The sequence below is a fragment of the Homo sapiens genome, chromosome 9 (genome assembly GCF_000001405.40).
Source record: "Homo sapiens chromosome 9, GRCh38.p14 Primary Assembly".
NCBI lineage: Eukaryota > Metazoa > Chordata > Mammalia > Primates > Hominidae > Homo > Homo sapiens.
Window position 1 is genome coordinate 97,212,342 of NC_000009.12, and position 17,500 is coordinate 97,229,841.

The window sequence follows — 17,500 nt, forward strand, 5'->3', positions numbered from 1 at the left end:
ATTTTTTATAACTATAATTGGTAGCATTTAAAAATCATCTTCTTAATATAGAAAATAGTAGGGTATCACACAATCCATGAGGCCTTACAGTAAGTAGAATACTGTATACACAGCAGGTCTAGGGCAGTTCTAGGCATCTAATTGACACTTAAATACATTTTAATTCCTAAAAGTACCATGGGGAAAGAGCACTGAAATAACAACATATTTTTTAAACAAATTACTTCTTACTCTGATTTTTAAAAATGTGAAGCTGTCCGGGTGCGGTGGCTCATGCCTGTAATCCCAGCACTTTGGGAGGCCAAGGTGGGTGGATCTGTAGGTCAGGAGTTCAAGACCAGCCTGGCCAACATGGTGAAACCCCGTCTCTACTAAAACTACAAAAATTAGCTGGGCGTGGTAGCAAGCACCTGTAATCCCAGCTACTCAGGAGGCTGAAGCAGGATAATCACTTGAACCTTGGCAGCAGAGGTTGCAGTGAGCTGAGATCACGCCACTGCACTCCAGCCTAGGCGACAGAGTAAGACTCTGTCTCAAACAAAACAAAACAAAACAAAAAAACCGTGAAGCTAAAGGAAACTCATGATTGAGATGAACAGGTATGGCTCATTTTAGTGAACACTTAGATTTACAGAATATATGCAAATCAGACTTTCCAATGATTAATATTAGTATTTAAGACTGATAAATTTTCAAAAGGGCAGTTAAAGCTTATCTCTTATTGTTTTCTACCTTCAGAAATGCTTTTGCTTGAAAGGTGGGAGGAAAAGCTTCAATAAGATTAAGTCCTACTATTCCCATTTTAAATCTCTCATCTTGCTGAGGCAGAACAGGTAAACAAAGTTTTTAAGTATGGAAGGGTCCTGGGAGATAGTGCAAAAAGTCTGCTACATAACATATTCAGGTTATGTTTGATGAATAAATGGATTGATAGAATAGAGTTGGGGAGCTCAATATTTTTAAATACAACTTCTATAAACCAATATTTTTGTGATAGTAATAATATTTGCTATTTGTTATTTTTATAAGACTACAACTATAATGAAATTATTAATCTATCATTGTTTGCCTATATGTAATGAATCTATACATAAGAAAAACATATACACATAATAAAGTATATACATAAAATCTGCAAGCAGATAAAAAGATTCCCTTTTTACTTCTGAAGAAGCTAAAAGTTCAAACAAGATAACAACCCTCACAATAATAATGATAAAAAATAGTGAGAAATTATTTTTATCTATACAAGATTCACATTTCTCTCTTCCCAAAATTTATTCCATTAATAATATATTTTTACTAGAAATTTTATAAATGCTCACTTCAGAAATCAAACGTAAGAAAAAGGAACAAAAAACTTTAAAATACAAATGCTCAGAAGTTACAAATTTTATCCTATTTTGTACATAGTTTTACCTAACACCAGACCATAGTATGTTTGTGTGTATGTGCAAGCAAACTGATTTCTTTTTCCTCACTGGCTGTAACAAAATGCATTTTCACACATCAACATACTTCTCTACCTATTGCCACCTTCAATGGCCACATATCCGTTCTATGGGTTCTTGTTAACATAAATGCTGGGGAAAAAAGTGCATGTATCTCTATTTTCTGAAGGTATTTTATTACAATGGAATTGATGGGTAAAGGGCATATACATTTTTAAAATGTGGTAATTATCTCCAAATTATCCACTTGAAAAGTCATCAGCAAGTTAAACTTCAAGCAGCAGTGTAAGTGCCACTGCTCTTTATTCTCACAAACACTGTGGATGGAAAACAGTCTCATTCCTCTTTTAACTTAAATTCTCTTATGAGAAACACTAAGGAATTTTTCCTATGTACATAAGTAACTTGTGGATCTGCAAAAAGTACTTTGCTCACTTTTAGACTTCTTTTCTTTCGGATTTGATTGGAAAGAATTCCCTGTAAAATAAAGTTGTGCTTTTTATCTGTATATATATATAACTGATATATATAACATTATATTAGTAATACATACAATTTGTTATACATATAATCAGTAATATATATATTATATATAATAAAGAATAAATTCCCTGTAGGATGAAGATACACTTTTCATCTGAATACATATTTTTATATATTAGTAAAAATATATATGGTAAATATTTTTCAGGTGTGTTATCTGTCAGGCCTCTGAGCCTAAGCCAAGCCATCGCATCCTCTGTGACTTGCACGTATACGCCCAGATGGCCTGAAGTAACTGAAGAATCACAAAAAAAGTGAATATGCCTTGCCCCACCTTAACTGATGACATTCCACCACAAAAGAAGTGTAAATGGCCGGTCCTTGCCTTAACTGATGACATTACCTTGTGAAAGTCCTTTTCCTGGCTCAAAAAGCACCCCTACTGAGCACCTTGCAACCCCTACTCCTGCCCACTGAGCACCTTGCGACCCCAACTCCTACCCGCCAGAGAACAAACCCCCTTTGACTGTAATTTTCCTTTACCTACCTAAATCTTACAAAACGGCCCCACCTTTATCTCCCTTGGCTGACTCTCTTTTCGGACTCAGCCCACCTGCACCCAGGTGAAATAAACAGCCATGTTGCTCACACAAAGCCTGTTTGGTGGTCTCTTCACACGGACACACATGAAATTTGGTGCCGTGACTCGGATCGGGGGACCTCCCTTGGCAGATCAATCCCCTGTCCTCCTGCTCTTTGCTCCATGAGAAAGATCCACCTACGACCTCGGGTCCTCAGACCGACCAGCCCAAGAAACATCTCACCAATTTCAAATCCGGTAAGCGGCCTCTTTTTACTCTCTTCTCCGACCTCCCTCACTATCCCTCAACCTCTTTCTCCTTTCAATCTTGGCGCCACACTTCAATCTCTCCCTTCTCTTAATTTCAATTCCTTTCATTTTCTGGTAGAGACAAAAGAGACATGTTTTATCCGTGAACCCAAAACTCCAGCGCCGGTCATGGACTAGGAAGGCAGCCTTCCCTTGGTGTTTAATCATTGCAGAGACGCCTCTCTGATTATACACTCACGTTTCAAGGGTGTCAGACCACGCAGGGACACCTGCCTTGGTCCTTCACCCTTAGTGGCAAGGGCAAGTACCCCTCAACCCCTTCCCCTTCACCCTCAGCGGCAAGTCCCGCTTTCCTGGGGCAGGGGCAAGTACCCCTCAACCCCTTCCCCTTCACCCTCAGCGGCAAGTCCCGCTTTCCTGGGGCAGGGGCAAGTACCCCAACCCCTTCCCCTTCACCCTCAGCGGCAAGTCCCGCTTTCCTGGGGCAGGGGCAAGTACCCCCAACCCCTTCTCCTTCACCCTTAGCAGCAAGTCCCGCTTTCCTAGGAGGCAAGAACCCCCAATCACTTATTTCCGCACCCCAACCTCTTATCTCTGTGCTTCAATCCCTTATTTCTGCACCCTGACCTCTTATCTCTGTGCCCCAATCCCTTATTTCTGTGCCCCAACCCCTTCTCTGCTTTTCTGGAGGGCAAGAACCCCCCACCCCTTCTCCGTGTCTCTACTCTTTTCTCTATGCTTGCCTCCTTCACTAAAGGTAAGCTTCCACCTTCCATTCCTCCTTCTTCTCCCTTAGCCTGTGTTCTCAAAAACTTAAAACCTCTTCAACTCACACCTGACCTAAAACCTAAATGCCTTATTTTCTTCTGCAATGCCGCTTGACCCCAATACAAACTCGACAGTAGTTCCAAATAGCCAGAAAATGGCACTTTGAATTTTTCCATCCTGCAAGATCTAAATAATTCTTGTCATAAAATAGGCAAACGGTCTGAGGTGCCTGACGTCCAGGCATTCTTTTACACATCAGTCCCTTCCTAGTCTCTGTGCCCAGTGCAACTCGTCCCAAATCTTCCTTCTTTCCCTCCCGCCTGTCCCCTCAGTACCAACCCCAAGTGTTGCTGAGTCTTTCTAATCTTCCTTTTCTACAGACCCATCTGACCTCTCCCTTCCTCCCCAGGCTGCTCCTCGCCAGGCCGAGCTAGGTCCCAATTCTTCCTCAGCCTCTGCTCCTCCACCCTATAATCTTTTTATCACCTCCCATCCTCACACCTGGTCCGACTTACAGTTTCGTTCCGTGACTAGCCCTCCCCCACCTGCCCAGCAATTTACTCTTAAAACGGTGGCTGGAGCCAAAGGCATAGTCAAGGTTAATGCTCCTTTTTCTTTATCCCAAATCAGATAGTGTTTAGGCTCTTTTTCATCAAATATAAAAATCCAGCCCAGTTCATGACTTAAAATCTTTTTATCACCTCCCCTCCTCACACCTGGTCCGGCTTACAGTTTCGTTCCATGACTAGCCCTCCCCCTCCTGCCCAGCAATTTACTCTTAAAACGGTGGCTGGAGCCAAAGGCATAGTCAAGGTTAATGCTCCTTTTTCTTTATCCCAAATCAGATAGCGTTTAGGCTCTTTTTCATCAAATATAAAAATCCAGCCCAGTTCATGACTTGTTTGGCAGCAACCCTAAGACACTTTACAGCCCTAGACCCTAAAAGGTCAAAAGGCCGTCTTATTCTCAAAATACATTTTATTACCCAATCTGCTCCCGACATTAAATAAAACTCCAAAAATTAAATTCCGGCCCTCAAACCCCACAACAGGATTTAATTAACCTCGCCTTCAAGGTGTACCATAATAGAAAAAAGTTGCAATTCCTTGCCTCCACTGTGAGACAAACCCCAGCCACATCTCCAGCACACAAGAACTTCCAAACGCCTGGACCGTAGCAGCCAGGCGTTCCTCCAGAACCTCCTCCCACAGGAGCTTGCTACACGTGCCGGAAATCTGGCCACTGGGCCAAGGAATGCCCGCAGCCCAGGATTTCTCCTAAGCCATGTCCCATCTGTGTGGGACCCCACTGAAAATCGGACTGTTCAACTCACCTGGCAGCCACTCCCAGAGCTCCTGGAACTCTGGCCCAAGGCTCTCTGACTGACTCCTTCTTGGCTTACCGGCTGAAGACTGACGCTGCCTGATCGCCTCAGAAGCCCCGTAGACCATCACGGACGCCGAGCTTTAGGTAACTCACAGTGGAGGGTAAGTCCGTCCCCTTCTTAATCAATACGGAGGCTACCCACTCCACATTACCTTCTTTTCAAGGGTCTGTTTCCCTTGCCTCCGTAACTGTTGTGGGTATTGACAGCCAGGCTTCTAAACCTCTTAAAACTCCCCAACTCTGGTGCCAACTTAGACAATACTCTTTTAAGCACTCCTTTTTAGTTATCCCCACCTGCCCAGTTCCCTTATTAGGCTGAGACACTTTCACTAAATTATCTGCTTCCCTGACTATTCCTGGACTACAGCTATATCTCATTGCGGCCCTTCTTCCCAATCCAAAGCCTCCTTTGCGTCCTCCTCTTGTATCCCCCCACCTTAACCCACAAGTATAAGATACCTCTACTCCCTCCTTGGCGACCGATCATGCACCCCTTACCATCTCATTAAAACCTAATCACCCTTACCCCACTCAACGCCAATATCCCATCCCGCAGCACACTTTAAAAAGATTAAAGCCTGTTATCACTCGCCTGCTACAGCATGGCCTTTCAAAGCCTATAAACTCTCCTTACAATTCCCCCATTTTACCTGTCCTAAAACCAGACAAGCCTTACAAGTTAGTTCAGGATCTGCGCCTTATCAACCAAATTGTTTTGCCTATCCACCCCGTGGTGCCAAACCCATATACTCTCCTATGCTCAATACCTCCCTCCACAACCCATTATTCTGTTCTGGATCTCAAACATGCTTTCTTTACTATTCCTTTGCACCCTTCATCCCAGCCTCTCTTCGCTTTCACTTGGACTGACCCTGACACCCATCAAGCTCAGCAAATTACCTAGGCTGTACTGCCGCAAAGCTTCACAGACAGCCCCCGTTACTTCAATCAAGCCCAAATTTCTTCCTCAACTGTTACCTACCTCGGCATAATTCTCATAAAAACACACGTGCTCTCCCTGCCAATCGTGTCCGACTGATCTCTCAAACCCAAGCATCTTCTACAAAACAACAACTCCTTTCCTTCCTAGGCATGGTTAGCGAGGTCAGAATTTTTACACAAGAGCCAGGACCACACCCTGTAGCCTTTCTGTCCAAACAACTTGACCTTACTGTTTTAGCCTAGCCCTCATGTCTGCGTGCAGTGGCTACCGCTGCTTTAATACTTTTAGAGGCCCTCAAAATAAGTAGAGGCCTTTCCTACAGGGTCTGAGAAGGCCACCGCAGTCATTTCTTCCGTTCTGTCAGACATAATTCCTCAGTTTAGCCTTCCCACCTCAATACAGTCTGATAACAGACGAGCCTTTATTAGTCAAATCAGGCAAGCAGTTTTTCAGGCTCTTAGTATTCAGTGAAACCTTTATATCCCTTATGGTCCTCCAACTTCAAGAAAAGTAAAATGGACTAAAGGTTTTTTAAAAACACACCTCACCAAGCTCAGCCACCAACTTAAAAAGGACTGGACAATACTTTTACCACTTTCCCTTCTCAGAATTCAGGCCTGTCCTCGGAATGCTACAGGGTACAGCCCATTTGAGCTCCTATATAGACGCTCCTTTTTATTAGGCCCCAGTCTCATTCCAGACACCAGACCAACTTAGACTGTGCCCCCAAAAAAACTTGTCATCCTTACTATCTTCTGTCTAGTCATACTCCTATTCACTGTTCTCAACTACTCATACATGCCCTGCTCTTGTTTACACTGCCGGTTTACACTGTTTTTCCAAGCCATCTCAGCTTATATCTCCTGGTGCTATCCCCAAACTGCCACTGTTAACTCTTGAAGTAAATAAATAATCTTTGCTGGCAGGACTATGCTGAATCTCCTTAGGCACTCTCTAATCAGATATCCTGAGTAGTCCCAATTCTTAGACCTTTTATACCTGTTTTTCTCCTTCTGTTATTCCATTTAGTTTCTCAATTCATCCAAAACCGTATCCAGGCCATCACCAATCATTCTATATGGCAAATGTTTCTTCTAACATCCCCACAATATCACCCCTTACCACAAGACCTCCCCCTTCAGCTTAATCTCTCCCACTCTAGGTTCCCACGCCGCCCCTAATCCCGCTTGAAGCAGCCCTGAGAAACATCGCCCATTCTCTCTCCATACCACCCCCCAAAAAATTTTCGCCGCCCCAACACTTCAACACTATTTTGTTTTATTTTTCTTATAAATATAAGAAGGCAGGAATGTCAGGCCTCTGAGCCCAAGCTAACCCGTCGCATCCCCTGTGACTTGCAGGTATATGCCCAGATGGCCTGAAGTAACTGAAGAATCACAAAAGAAGTGAATATGCTTTGTCCCACCTTAACTGATGACATTCTATCACAAAAGAAGTGTAAATGGCTGGTCCTTGCCTTAACTGATGACATTACCTTGTGAAAGTCCTTTTCCTGGCTCATCCTGGCTCAAAAAGCACCCCCACTGAGCACCTTGCGACCCCCACTCCTGCCCACTGAGCACCTTGCGACCCCCACTCCTACCCACCAGAAAACAAACCCCCTTTGACTGTAATTTTCCTTTACCTTCCCAAATCCTATAAAACGACCCCACCCTTATCTCCCTTGGCTGACTCTCTTTTCGGACTCAGCCCACCTGCACCCAGGTGAAATAAACAGCCATGTTGCTCACACAAAGCCTGTTTGGTGGTCTCTTCACACGGACGCGCATGAAATTATCTTTTGTTAATTTTTTTCTGATACACAGGGGATTTTAATTTTAGTTTGCTAAATCAATCTTCAGAATGCCTGCTTGTAAGGTCATTCTTAGGAAGGCCTCTGTTAACGTAAAATGTATCTGTATAAATAAGTCTTTGTGTTTTCTTCTGGTACTTTTCTCATTTTGCATATGTAAAAATTTCAGTCGGAATTTCATCGGGAACTCATTTTTGCGACATAAAATTTCATTAGTTTTCTTCACACAGCAGGCATTTTATTAATAACTCATCCTTTCCTACTCATCTGAAATGTTACCATTATTAATCCCTGTGTATATATCTTACATATATTTCAGTGTTTTTGGATTTCCTATTCTGTTCCATTTATTTATATGTGTTTTTAGCTGTTAGTAAATAATTGTGAGAATTAATAGCACATTTTGATATCTAGAAGAGCAAGTCTTTTTTCACTCCATTATAAAAATTTTTAAATGTCATCACAATGGTAAGATAGACAGCAAGTGTCATGCAAAAATGATAAAACCTTGATTTTTCATTCGGTTTATGTAAAACTGATAAACATATTAAGAGCTCACATTTTGAGAAAACTGAGTCTTCTCATTCAAGGAACCCACCTCCCACTTCCAAGTGTCCCTCTAAGAAGCCCCAGTAAAGAACCTATCTACCTAGGTGGATTCGGATGTAAAACCCACACAGGGTTTAATCTGAGAACTCTTCGCCTACTGAAAATGGCTCATGGTATTTTTGACATGGGAATGAGTTCTCATTAGGCACCTCCCTATCATGTATATAGCTCCATGTAAACATGGATATACTTAACTTTGTGAGTTAAATCACTCAAATTATCCACCAAGCGCTACAGGCGGGAAATTGCCAGGGATGGAAAGCAGCTGAGGCTCCATTTGGCTTCGCGGCTCCAGGGCCCGGCGACCTCCAAGGCCCCCGCCTCAGGCGCTGCGGGCAAACAGGGCCTGGGGGCCCCCTCCCACCGCGGGCTGAGCCCCCGCTACCTGTCCTTTCTGTCGCGGGCATCCAAGTCCCGGAACCTGCGAGTCAGGCAGCGCTCCACCTCCGCGGCGTCGCCCTTGATGGCCACCCTGTGGATCTTCCGCAGTTCCCAGTCCCCGATGTGGTACCCCCGACCCGCGTACTCTTGGTCCATGGAGCTCAGGAGCGCCTGGCCCAGGCGTCTCCCGAAACTGAAGAGTTTCCTCATGGTGGCGACTTCTCAGACGCCAACCACCCGCTACTGAGCCGCCGCGGCTCCTCGTGGCCTTTCCACCCCGACCAAGTTCCAAATCCGCGATCCCCCTCCCCACCCCGCTATCCACCCCTAAATCCAAGATCCACCACCAAACCAGCAATCCACCCCCAAACCCAAGATCCACCCCCAACCCCGCGATGTAGCTCAGAATCCGCGATCCAGCCCGGTCCACCACAGCCTTCAGCAGCGACACTCGCAGCCTCCGACCTCTCAGACCGAGTGAGCTTAACTAAGCCGTTACTCGCGTGCCAGCAGTTGGGCGCTCCGACCTCTCAGACCGCGTGAGCCCAGCAAAGCGGTTAGGCGCGCGCCTGCAGCTCGGCGCTAGCCCGGACTCCGGGAGCCGCTCTCGAGCTCGCGTGGACGGCAGAGGGCGGCTGCAGCTCGGGCGCAGGCGCCGCTGGCTTGCGGGTTCTCCTGGGCTCGCGCAGGACATCCCGGAATCGCAGGCGCGCATCCCTTCCCGCCTGAGGGCCCGCCTGGCCGTGACTCCCGCTCCTCTCCTCCTCCGAAGAGAGATGGGGCCGCTGGCAGGGGCTCTCCGCAGCCACCGGGGATGGGGCTGAGGGTCGGTTCCTGCCCCGGTGCAGCCGCCGCGGGCAGACCGCCTGGCTTGGCCGCAGCCACAGCGACATCTAGCCCCGGTTCTGCGAGGCTGGGCGCGCCAGCCAGCTTGGGAGTTGCCTGGCGCCTGTAGCTGGGCGCCCAGGTGGTGGAGCATGGCCTGGGCGGCCTCTGGATCGCGAGTGCCCCTGGCCTGAGAGCCCGCCAGACCCTGCCCCCACCCGGCTCCTCCTCTGCCAGAGCTCGAGACCTCTAGCCAGGGGCCCTCTGCAACCACCGGGGATGGGGCTGAGGGCCGGTTCCCGCCCCTGTGCAGCTGCTGCAGGACAGACCGCCTGGCTTGGCCGCAGCCACAGGGACATCTGGCCCTGGTTCTGAGATGTGGGGAGTGCGGGCGGGCTCGAGAGTTGCCTGGAGGCTGCTGCCTGCACACAGAAGGCGGCTGCAGCTTGGGTGCCCAGGCGGGCTGGAGGTGCATGGCCTGGTCGGCCTCGGGATCGCCAGCGCGCCCAGCCTGAGGGCCCCCAGGTCGTGCCTCCCGCCCACTCCTCCACCTGAGGGGGATTGGGGCCGCTGGCATGGGCACTCGGCAGTCACCCCGTGTGGGGTTGAGCGGCGGGTTCTCGGTTCTGCTCCTGTGCAGCCGCCGCTGGGCAGAATGCCTGGCTTGGCTGCAGCCACTGGGACACCTGGCCCTGGTTCTGCGATGCTGGGAGCGCGAGCGGGCTCGGAGGTTGCCAGGCAGCTGCTGCCTGCACACAGAGGGCGACTGCAGCTTGGGCGCCCAGGCGGCGGAGCATGGTCTGGGTGGCCTCTGGAATGCGTGCGCGCCAGACCTGAGGGCCCTCCTGCTGGTGCCACCTGACCCGGTCTTCCTCTGCTGGAGCCTGGAGCAGCTGGAATGGCCACTCTGCAGTCACAGGGGATAGAGTTAAGTTTTCTTATCCCAGGCATGCACACAAAAAGGTAACTATTCTGTGAGGTAATTAACATGTTAATTGACTTCATTTTGGTAATCATTTCAGAATGTGCATATAAACGCATCACATGTACAATTTTCTCTATTACACCTCAGTAAAGCTGAAATAATTAACAGGATCGAAAGGATAAACCCACAGTTCTATAGTAACAGTTGGACACTTCAATACCTCATTTTAATTAATGGATAGAAAAACCAGACAGAAGCTTTATGAGAAATACAAGACTTAAACAACAGTATAAACCATTGAGAGCTAATATACATATACAGAACAGTCCATCCAACAACAGCAGAACATACATTCTTTTCAAGTGTATATGGAACTTTCTCTAGGATAGGCCATATCTTCGTCCACAAAATATGTCCTAATCATTTTTAAAAGTTTGAAATCATACAAAATATAATTTACAACCACAATGGAAGAAACAACAGATAAATAAGTGAAAACTGGAAAATTCACAAAAATGTGAAAATTAAACAATACAGTCTTAAACTACCAGTGAGTGAAAAAATAAATCACAAGCAAAATTATAAAATATCTTGAGACAAAATAAAAACAAAACATACCAAAACTTATTGAATGCAGTGAAAGTAGAGTTCAAGGGAAAATGTATGGATATAAACAACTACATTTAAGAAGAAATCTCAAATCAATATCCTCATTCTATACCTAAAGGCAATGGAAGAAAACAAAAAAAGACTAAATCCAAAGCTAGCAGAAGGAAAGAAATAATAAAGAGCATAATTAGAGCATAAATCAATAAAATAGAATGTTGGAGAGCAGTAGAATAAATAAACATAGATTATTTGAAAGATCAAGCCTTTCACTATATTGACTGAGCAAAAGATGGAAGACTAATTATTAAAATAATAAATGAAAGCAGAGCCATTACTACCAACTTTACAGAAATACAAAAGGATTACAGGAGTATACTGTGAACAACTGTCTAACAACAAATTAGGTGCCCTGGATGAAATGGACGAATTGCTAGAAAGACACAAACTACTAAAGTGGTTCAAGAAGAAAGAGAAAATCTGAATAGACCTATAACCTAAGAGATTGAATTAGTAATCGAAAGCGATTAACAAAGAAACATTTATGACCAAATAGCTGCATTAACTGGTGAGTCAACCTAACATTTAAAGAAGAATTAATACCATTTCTTCTCAAAGTCTTCTGACAAAATATGTGAAGAAGGAATACTTGCTAATTCATTTTTTGATAATAGCATTATCCTTATACCAAAGCCAAGGAGAGCACAAAAAAGAGAACTACAGCACAATATCCCTTATGAATATATAAGCAAAAATCTCTGCAAAATACTAGCAATACTACCAAAATACTAGCAGCAATACTGTATAATCAAAGGATTGTAAACTATCACCCTGTGAGATTTATCCCCAAAATGCAAGGGTGGCTCAACATATAAAAAAATCAATCAGTATAATGTACTGTAACAGTAAAATGAATACGCACATGATTATTTCAATTGATGAAGAAAAAACATTGATGAAATACAATACCCTTCTATAATAAAAATACTCAATAAACTAGGCATAGAAGGGAACTTCTGCAACCTGACAATGGGATGTATAAAAACCCAACAGTTAATATCATGATCAATGATGAAACACTGAAAGCTGTTTTCCTAACACCTAGAACAAGACAAGGATGGTGCATTTGCCACTTGTATTCAACATAGCATTGGCAGTTCTACCCAGAGCAATCAGGCGAGACAAAGAAATAAAAGGCATCTAAATTAGAAATAAAAAATAGAAGTAAAATTATATCTACACATGATCTTATGTGTATAAAGCTCCAAACAAAACACAAAACCGATTATAACTAATAAAAGAGGCAGGATGCAAAACAAACATATGCAAATGAGCTATATTTCTATATAGTTGTAAAGAACTATGAAAACATTTAAAAAATTCCATTTATAATAGCATCAAAGAATAAGTTATTCAGGCATAAATCTAATCATGGTGGTATACACAAAACTTTGCTGAAAAAAACTAAAGAGAGTGGAAATAACTGGAAAGACATTCTGTGTTCACGGGTTGTAAGACAATATTGTTAAGATGACAATACCATCTAAAGTAATCTACAGATTCAATGCAATACCATCAAAATCCCAAAGGCATCTTTGCAGAAACAAAGAAACTCATTCTAAAATTCATACAAAAATTCAAAGGATCTGACAGACAAAAACAGTCTTGAAAAAGAATATTGGAAAACTCACATTTTTCAGTTTCACAACCTATTACAAATCTACAGTAATCAAGAGAGTGTGGTACTGGCATAAGACCAATAGACTTTTAGACCAATAGAATAGAATAGATTTGAGATCCTACAAATTAGTCCTCACATATATGGTCAATGACTGTTCAACAAGGTGGCCAAGTCTAGTCAAGGGAGGAAAGAACAGTCTCTTCAACAGCTGGATGTCAGTGCACAAGAGAGAAGTTAGAACCCTACCTTGCAGTATATACAAAAATTAATTATAAATTAATAAAAGACTTAAATGTAAGGACTAAAAATATGTAACTCTTAGAAGAAAACACAAGGTAAACCTTTATGACCTTTGAGTTTTAAGTGTATTTTGAAGTATGACAGAAAAGCACAGATAACAAAAGAAAATACTCATAAATTAGATTTAATCAAAATAAAAAACCTTTATGCATCAAAGGATACCATCAAGGGACTGAAAAGACAACCCATAGTATGTGAGAAAATACGTATCTGATAAAATCAAAGTGTGTATCTGATAAAAGCTTAATATCCCACAACTCAACAACAGAATTTCTAACATCCCAATTAAAAAATAGGCAAAGGACTTGAATAGACATTTCTCCAAAGAAGATACATAAATGTCTATGAAGGACAAGAAAAGATGCTAAGCACCATTATTCATTAATAAAATGCAAGACAAAATCAAAACGAGATGCCACTTTGCATCCACTAGTAAGGCTTTCATAACAACGACACAGAAAATAAATGTTGCTAAAGAGGTGGAGAAATTGGAGCCCTCGTGAACTGACTGCTAGGAATAGAAAATGATGCACTTGCTGTGGAAAACAATTTGGTGGTTCCTCACAGAATCACACAGAGAAACAGAAATTCCACTCCTAGGTATTATTCACACACAAAAAAATTGACAGCAGGGTCTGGAACAGATATTTTTACACCCAAGTTAATTGCAGCGTTATTCGTTATAGCCAAAAGGCACGGACAACCCGTGTCCATCAACAAATGAATGGATACACAAATATGATACATAAATAATAGAATATTATTCAGCCATTAAAGAGGATGAAGTTCTGATACATGCAACATGGGTGAAACTTGGAAATATGATGCTGAGTGAAGTAAGCCAGACACGAAAGGACAGATGTTGTATGATTCCACTGATATGAAATATCTAGAATAGGCAAATTTGTGAAAATAGAATGAAGATTAGTGTTTCCCAGAGACTGGGGAGAGGTAGCAATGCTGGGTTATTGTTTAATGGGTACTTTATTTCTGTTTGTGATAGAAATGAAGATGCTGGTTGTACAAAACTGGGAATGTACTTAATGCTACTGAATTATATACTTAAAGTTAAAATTTTAACACAATTTAAAAATTTAAATATAGATCTGAGAATTCCTATATCCATTTTTATTTAAAAGTTATTTGCTCAATTGCCAAATATTAAGGTTTTTCTGAATATATTTTTGTTATTGACTTAATTTAGTCCTATTTTGCTCAGAGTACAAACTGTCTATGATTTAAATCCTTTTATATTTATTGAGAATTATTTTATGGTCCAGTATTTAATCTATCTTGATTAATGTTCCACATACACTTGAAAAGTAGATCTGATGATCGTCACCTTTACTCTGTTGATATCTGTTTCACACATTTTGAAGTTTCACTAGGTTCACCCATTTAAGATTGTTAATTTTATGAACTGGCCTATTTTGATTATGACTCGACACCTTTATCTTTGGCAGTACTCCTGTTCTGAAGACCACTTTATCTAATATTAATATGGGCATACCAACTCTTTTAGGATTAGTATTTGCATGGCACATTTACATCTATACTTTTGCCTAAATGTTGTGTCTGTATCTAAAATGTGGTTCTTGTGAGCAGCATAGTGTTGGGTCTTGTTTATTTATTTATTGTTTAATCTCATCTGAAAATCTGAACTTTGAAATTGAGATATCCAGTCCTTCTATATTCATGTATTAGAAACAGGGTCTGGCTCAGTCACACAGGCTGGGCTGCAGTGGCATGATCATAGCTCATTGTAACCTTGAACTCCTAGGGTCAAAAGATCCTCTCACCTCAGCCTCCTGAGTAGCTAGGAATGCAGGGATATGGCATTGTGCCTGGCTAATTTTTTATTATTTAAATTTTTCTTTTTTTGCAGACACAGGATCTCACTATGTTGCCAGGGCTGGTCTCAGACTCCTGGTCTCAACTCATCTTCCCACCTCAGCTCCCAGAGTGCTGGGGTTACAGGCATGAGCTATGAAGGCTGGGCCCTTTTATATTTAATGTAATGGTTGAAATGACTAGATTTAAGTGTACCCTGTTGCTATTTGTTTTCTGTCTCTGTTTCTTTTTTTCTCGATTCTTCCTTTAGTGTGATTATTTTTTAGTCTTCTGTTTTCTCTCTTCTGCTGGCTTTTTAGCTATATCTGTTTGTTTCAATTTTTTAAATTGTTAGCTGAAAGATTACAATACGTAGGCCAGACGTGGTGGCTCACACCTGTAATCCCAGCACTTTGGGAGGCTGAGGACTGCAGATCACATGAGTCCCAAAGTTCAAGACCAGCCTGGCCAATATGGTGAAACCCTGTCTCTACTAAAAATACAAACCAATCCAGGCGTGGTGGCATGCTCGTGTAATCCCAGCTACTTGGGAGGCTGAGGCATGAGAATTGCTTGAACCCAGGAGGTGGAGATTGCAGTGAGCCGAGATCACACCACTGCACTCCAGCCTGGGTGACAGAGTGAGACTCCGTCTCAAAAAAAAAAAAAAATTACAGTATGTATCTTTATCACAGTCTACCTTGAGTATATATATATATATATATATATATATATATTTTTTTTTTTTTTTTTTTTTTTTTGAGACGGAGTCTCGCTCTGTTGCCCAGGCTGGAGTGCAGTGGCACAATCTTGGCTCACTGCAAGCTCCACCTCCCGGGTTCGCACCATTCTCCTGCCTCAGCCTCCCGAATAGCTGGGACTACAGGCGCCCACCACCACGCCCAGCTAATTTTTTGTGTTTTTAGTAGAGACGGGGTTTCACCATGTTAGCCAGGATGGTCTCGATCTCCTGACCTTGTGATCCACCCATCTCGGCCTCCCAAAGTGCTGGGATCAGAGACGTGAGCCACCGCGCCCGGCCTGAATTAATATTTTAACACTTTTGTTAAAGATAAGAGCCTTAAAATGGTATAATTCCAATTACTCTCCTTTGTCCTTTATGTTAGTTTTGTCACTTATTTTTTTTCTGCATGTTTGTTGTGAGTTATCAGGAATTAGTGTTGGATTTTGCCAAAATTCTTTTATGTCTTTTGACATGATTCTATTGATTTTCTACTTTATTTATTTATATGATGTACTATGTTCATTGTGTTTTAGATAGTAAACCAAATTTGCATTACTAGTATTAATTCCAGAGACATGTAGTGTATGATCGTCTTACATACTGTTGGATGTAATTTGCTTCCAGGCTGTTAAACATATTTGCAGGTAAACTTATGAGAGACATTGTTTGGCACTTTCCTTTTCTTCTGATGTCTCCATCCTGCTTTGGTATCAAGCTAATACTGGCTTTCTAAAATGTTTTGGCATATCTTCTCTTCTGTATTTGCTGGAAATGTTTGTGTATGACTGATATACTTTCTTCCTTAAATGTTAGATGGAATTCATGGGTTAAGGCTTCTAGCACTACACTCTTCTTCAGAGGGAATATGTTTAATTACTAATTCAATTTTTTTTTACTTTATATACATCTATTAAGATTTTCTATTTGTTCTTTAGTCAATTTTGCTACTTAATGTCTTTGTCGGAATTTGCTTATTTCATTTATGTTGCTAAACTTGTTGACATTAGTTGTTCATCATAATACCTTAAATTCTTTTAAAATTTCTGTTGAATCTGTTGTGAGGTTCTATCTTTCATTCTTTTTTTTTTTTTTTTCTCAGACAGAGTCTCGCTCTTGTCACCCAGGCTGGATGCAGCATCCTGCTACTGGATATGTAGATAAAAGAGAAGTATTACATCTTTGAGATATGGAATCAACCTAAGTGCTGCTCTAAGCATACAAGTGCAGGTATCTTTTTTATATAGTATTTCTCCTTTATGTATATATCCAGTAGCAGGATTGCTGTATTCCATATCTTTACAATAGCAAAGATATGAAATCAATCTAAGTGTCCATCAATAGATGATTGGCTAAAGAAAATGTGGTATGCATACAGTGGAATACTATTCAGCCATAAAAACAATAAAATCCACAGTAGTCTCATGTAACAAATCTGCACATGTATCCCTATGTCTAAAATAAACTTCAAAATTTAAAAAAGAATGAAATCATGTCTTTTGCAGCAACATGGATGGAAATGAAGTTCATTATCTTAAGTAAAATAACAGAAACAGAAAGTCAAATACTGCATGTTCTCACTTATAAATAGGAGCTAAATAACACATACTCATGGACACAGAGAGTGGAATAATAGTCATTGGAGACTCAGAAGGGTGTGTGAGTGAGAGGGGTGAGGGTTGAGCAATTTCATAGTGGATATAATGTGCACTCTTCAGGGAATGTTTACACTACTAGTCCAGACTTCACCACTACCCAGTATGTCCATGTAACAAAACTACACTTGTACCCCTTAAATGTATACAAATACAAATTAAAACATGCATGAGAGAGGACCTTAATTTTTCTTTTCTCTTTCTCTCTTTCATTCTTCTTTTTGACAGAGTTTTGCTCTTGTCACCCAGGCT

General features: G+C 42.1%; 1 protein-coding gene and 1 pseudogene across 2 annotated transcripts in view, besides 8 other annotated features; both read right to left on the bottom strand.

The window, feature by feature from the left end:
- The window catches only part of ANKRD18CP (ankyrin repeat domain 18C, pseudogene), an 82,850-nt pseudogene that overhangs the window by 56,449 nt on the left and 8,901 nt on the right, over positions 1 to 17,500 (bottom strand). The gene's annotated exons all lie outside the window — the stretch shown is intronic.
- Positions 1,864 to 2,429: an enhancer, noted in NCBI's record as "OCT4-NANOG-H3K27ac-H3K4me1 hESC enhancer chr9:99976487-99977052 (GRCh37/hg19 assembly coordinates)". NCBI's record gives its function as "activates a minimal SCP1, AML or CMV promoter by ChIP-STARR-seq in naive and primed H9 embryonic stem cells {active_cell/tissue: H9 hESC(naive and primed)}" and the evidence as "EXISTENCE:reporter gene assay evidence [ECO:0000049][PMID:30033119]".
- Positions 2,430 to 2,993: an enhancer, noted in NCBI's record as "OCT4-NANOG-H3K27ac-H3K4me1 hESC enhancer chr9:99977053-99977616 (GRCh37/hg19 assembly coordinates)". NCBI's record gives its function as "activates a minimal SCP1, AML or CMV promoter by ChIP-STARR-seq in naive and primed H9 embryonic stem cells {active_cell/tissue: H9 hESC(naive and primed)}" and the evidence as "EXISTENCE:reporter gene assay evidence [ECO:0000049][PMID:30033119]".
- Positions 4,122 to 4,687: an enhancer, noted in NCBI's record as "NANOG-H3K27ac-H3K4me1 hESC enhancer chr9:99978745-99979310 (GRCh37/hg19 assembly coordinates)". NCBI's record gives its function as "activates a minimal SCP1, AML or CMV promoter by ChIP-STARR-seq in primed H9 embryonic stem cells {active_cell/tissue: H9 hESC(primed)}" and the evidence as "EXISTENCE:reporter gene assay evidence [ECO:0000049][PMID:30033119]".
- Positions 4,688 to 5,251: an enhancer, noted in NCBI's record as "NANOG-H3K27ac-H3K4me1 hESC enhancer chr9:99979311-99979874 (GRCh37/hg19 assembly coordinates)". NCBI's record gives its function as "activates a minimal SCP1, AML or CMV promoter by ChIP-STARR-seq in primed H9 embryonic stem cells {active_cell/tissue: H9 hESC(primed)}" and the evidence as "EXISTENCE:reporter gene assay evidence [ECO:0000049][PMID:30033119]".
- Positions 6,889 to 7,826: an enhancer, noted in NCBI's record as "OCT4-NANOG hESC enhancer chr9:99981512-99982449 (GRCh37/hg19 assembly coordinates)". NCBI's record gives its function as "activates a minimal SCP1, AML or CMV promoter by ChIP-STARR-seq in naive and primed H9 embryonic stem cells {active_cell/tissue: H9 hESC(naive and primed)}" and the evidence as "EXISTENCE:reporter gene assay evidence [ECO:0000049][PMID:30033119]".
- Positions 8,190 to 8,805: an enhancer, noted in NCBI's record as "NANOG-H3K27ac-H3K4me1 hESC enhancer chr9:99982813-99983428 (GRCh37/hg19 assembly coordinates)". NCBI's record gives its function as "activates a minimal SCP1, AML or CMV promoter by ChIP-STARR-seq in primed H9 embryonic stem cells {active_cell/tissue: H9 hESC(primed)}" and the evidence as "EXISTENCE:reporter gene assay evidence [ECO:0000049][PMID:30033119]".
- Positions 8,806 to 9,420: an enhancer, noted in NCBI's record as "NANOG-H3K27ac-H3K4me1 hESC enhancer chr9:99983429-99984043 (GRCh37/hg19 assembly coordinates)". NCBI's record gives its function as "activates a minimal SCP1, AML or CMV promoter by ChIP-STARR-seq in primed H9 embryonic stem cells {active_cell/tissue: H9 hESC(primed)}" and the evidence as "EXISTENCE:reporter gene assay evidence [ECO:0000049][PMID:30033119]".
- On the bottom strand, positions 9,172 to 14,770 carry LOC107987025 (uncharacterized). The gene has a single exon (XM_047424315.1). The coding sequence runs from the start codon at positions 10,084 to 10,086 to the stop codon at positions 9,172 to 9,174; it is 915 nt and encodes a 304-aa protein (XP_047280271.1). The 5' UTR covers positions 10,087 to 14,770.
- Positions 9,421 to 10,035: an enhancer, noted in NCBI's record as "NANOG-H3K27ac-H3K4me1 hESC enhancer chr9:99984044-99984658 (GRCh37/hg19 assembly coordinates)". NCBI's record gives its function as "activates a minimal SCP1, AML or CMV promoter by ChIP-STARR-seq in naive H9 embryonic stem cells {active_cell/tissue: H9 hESC(naive)}" and the evidence as "EXISTENCE:reporter gene assay evidence [ECO:0000049][PMID:30033119]".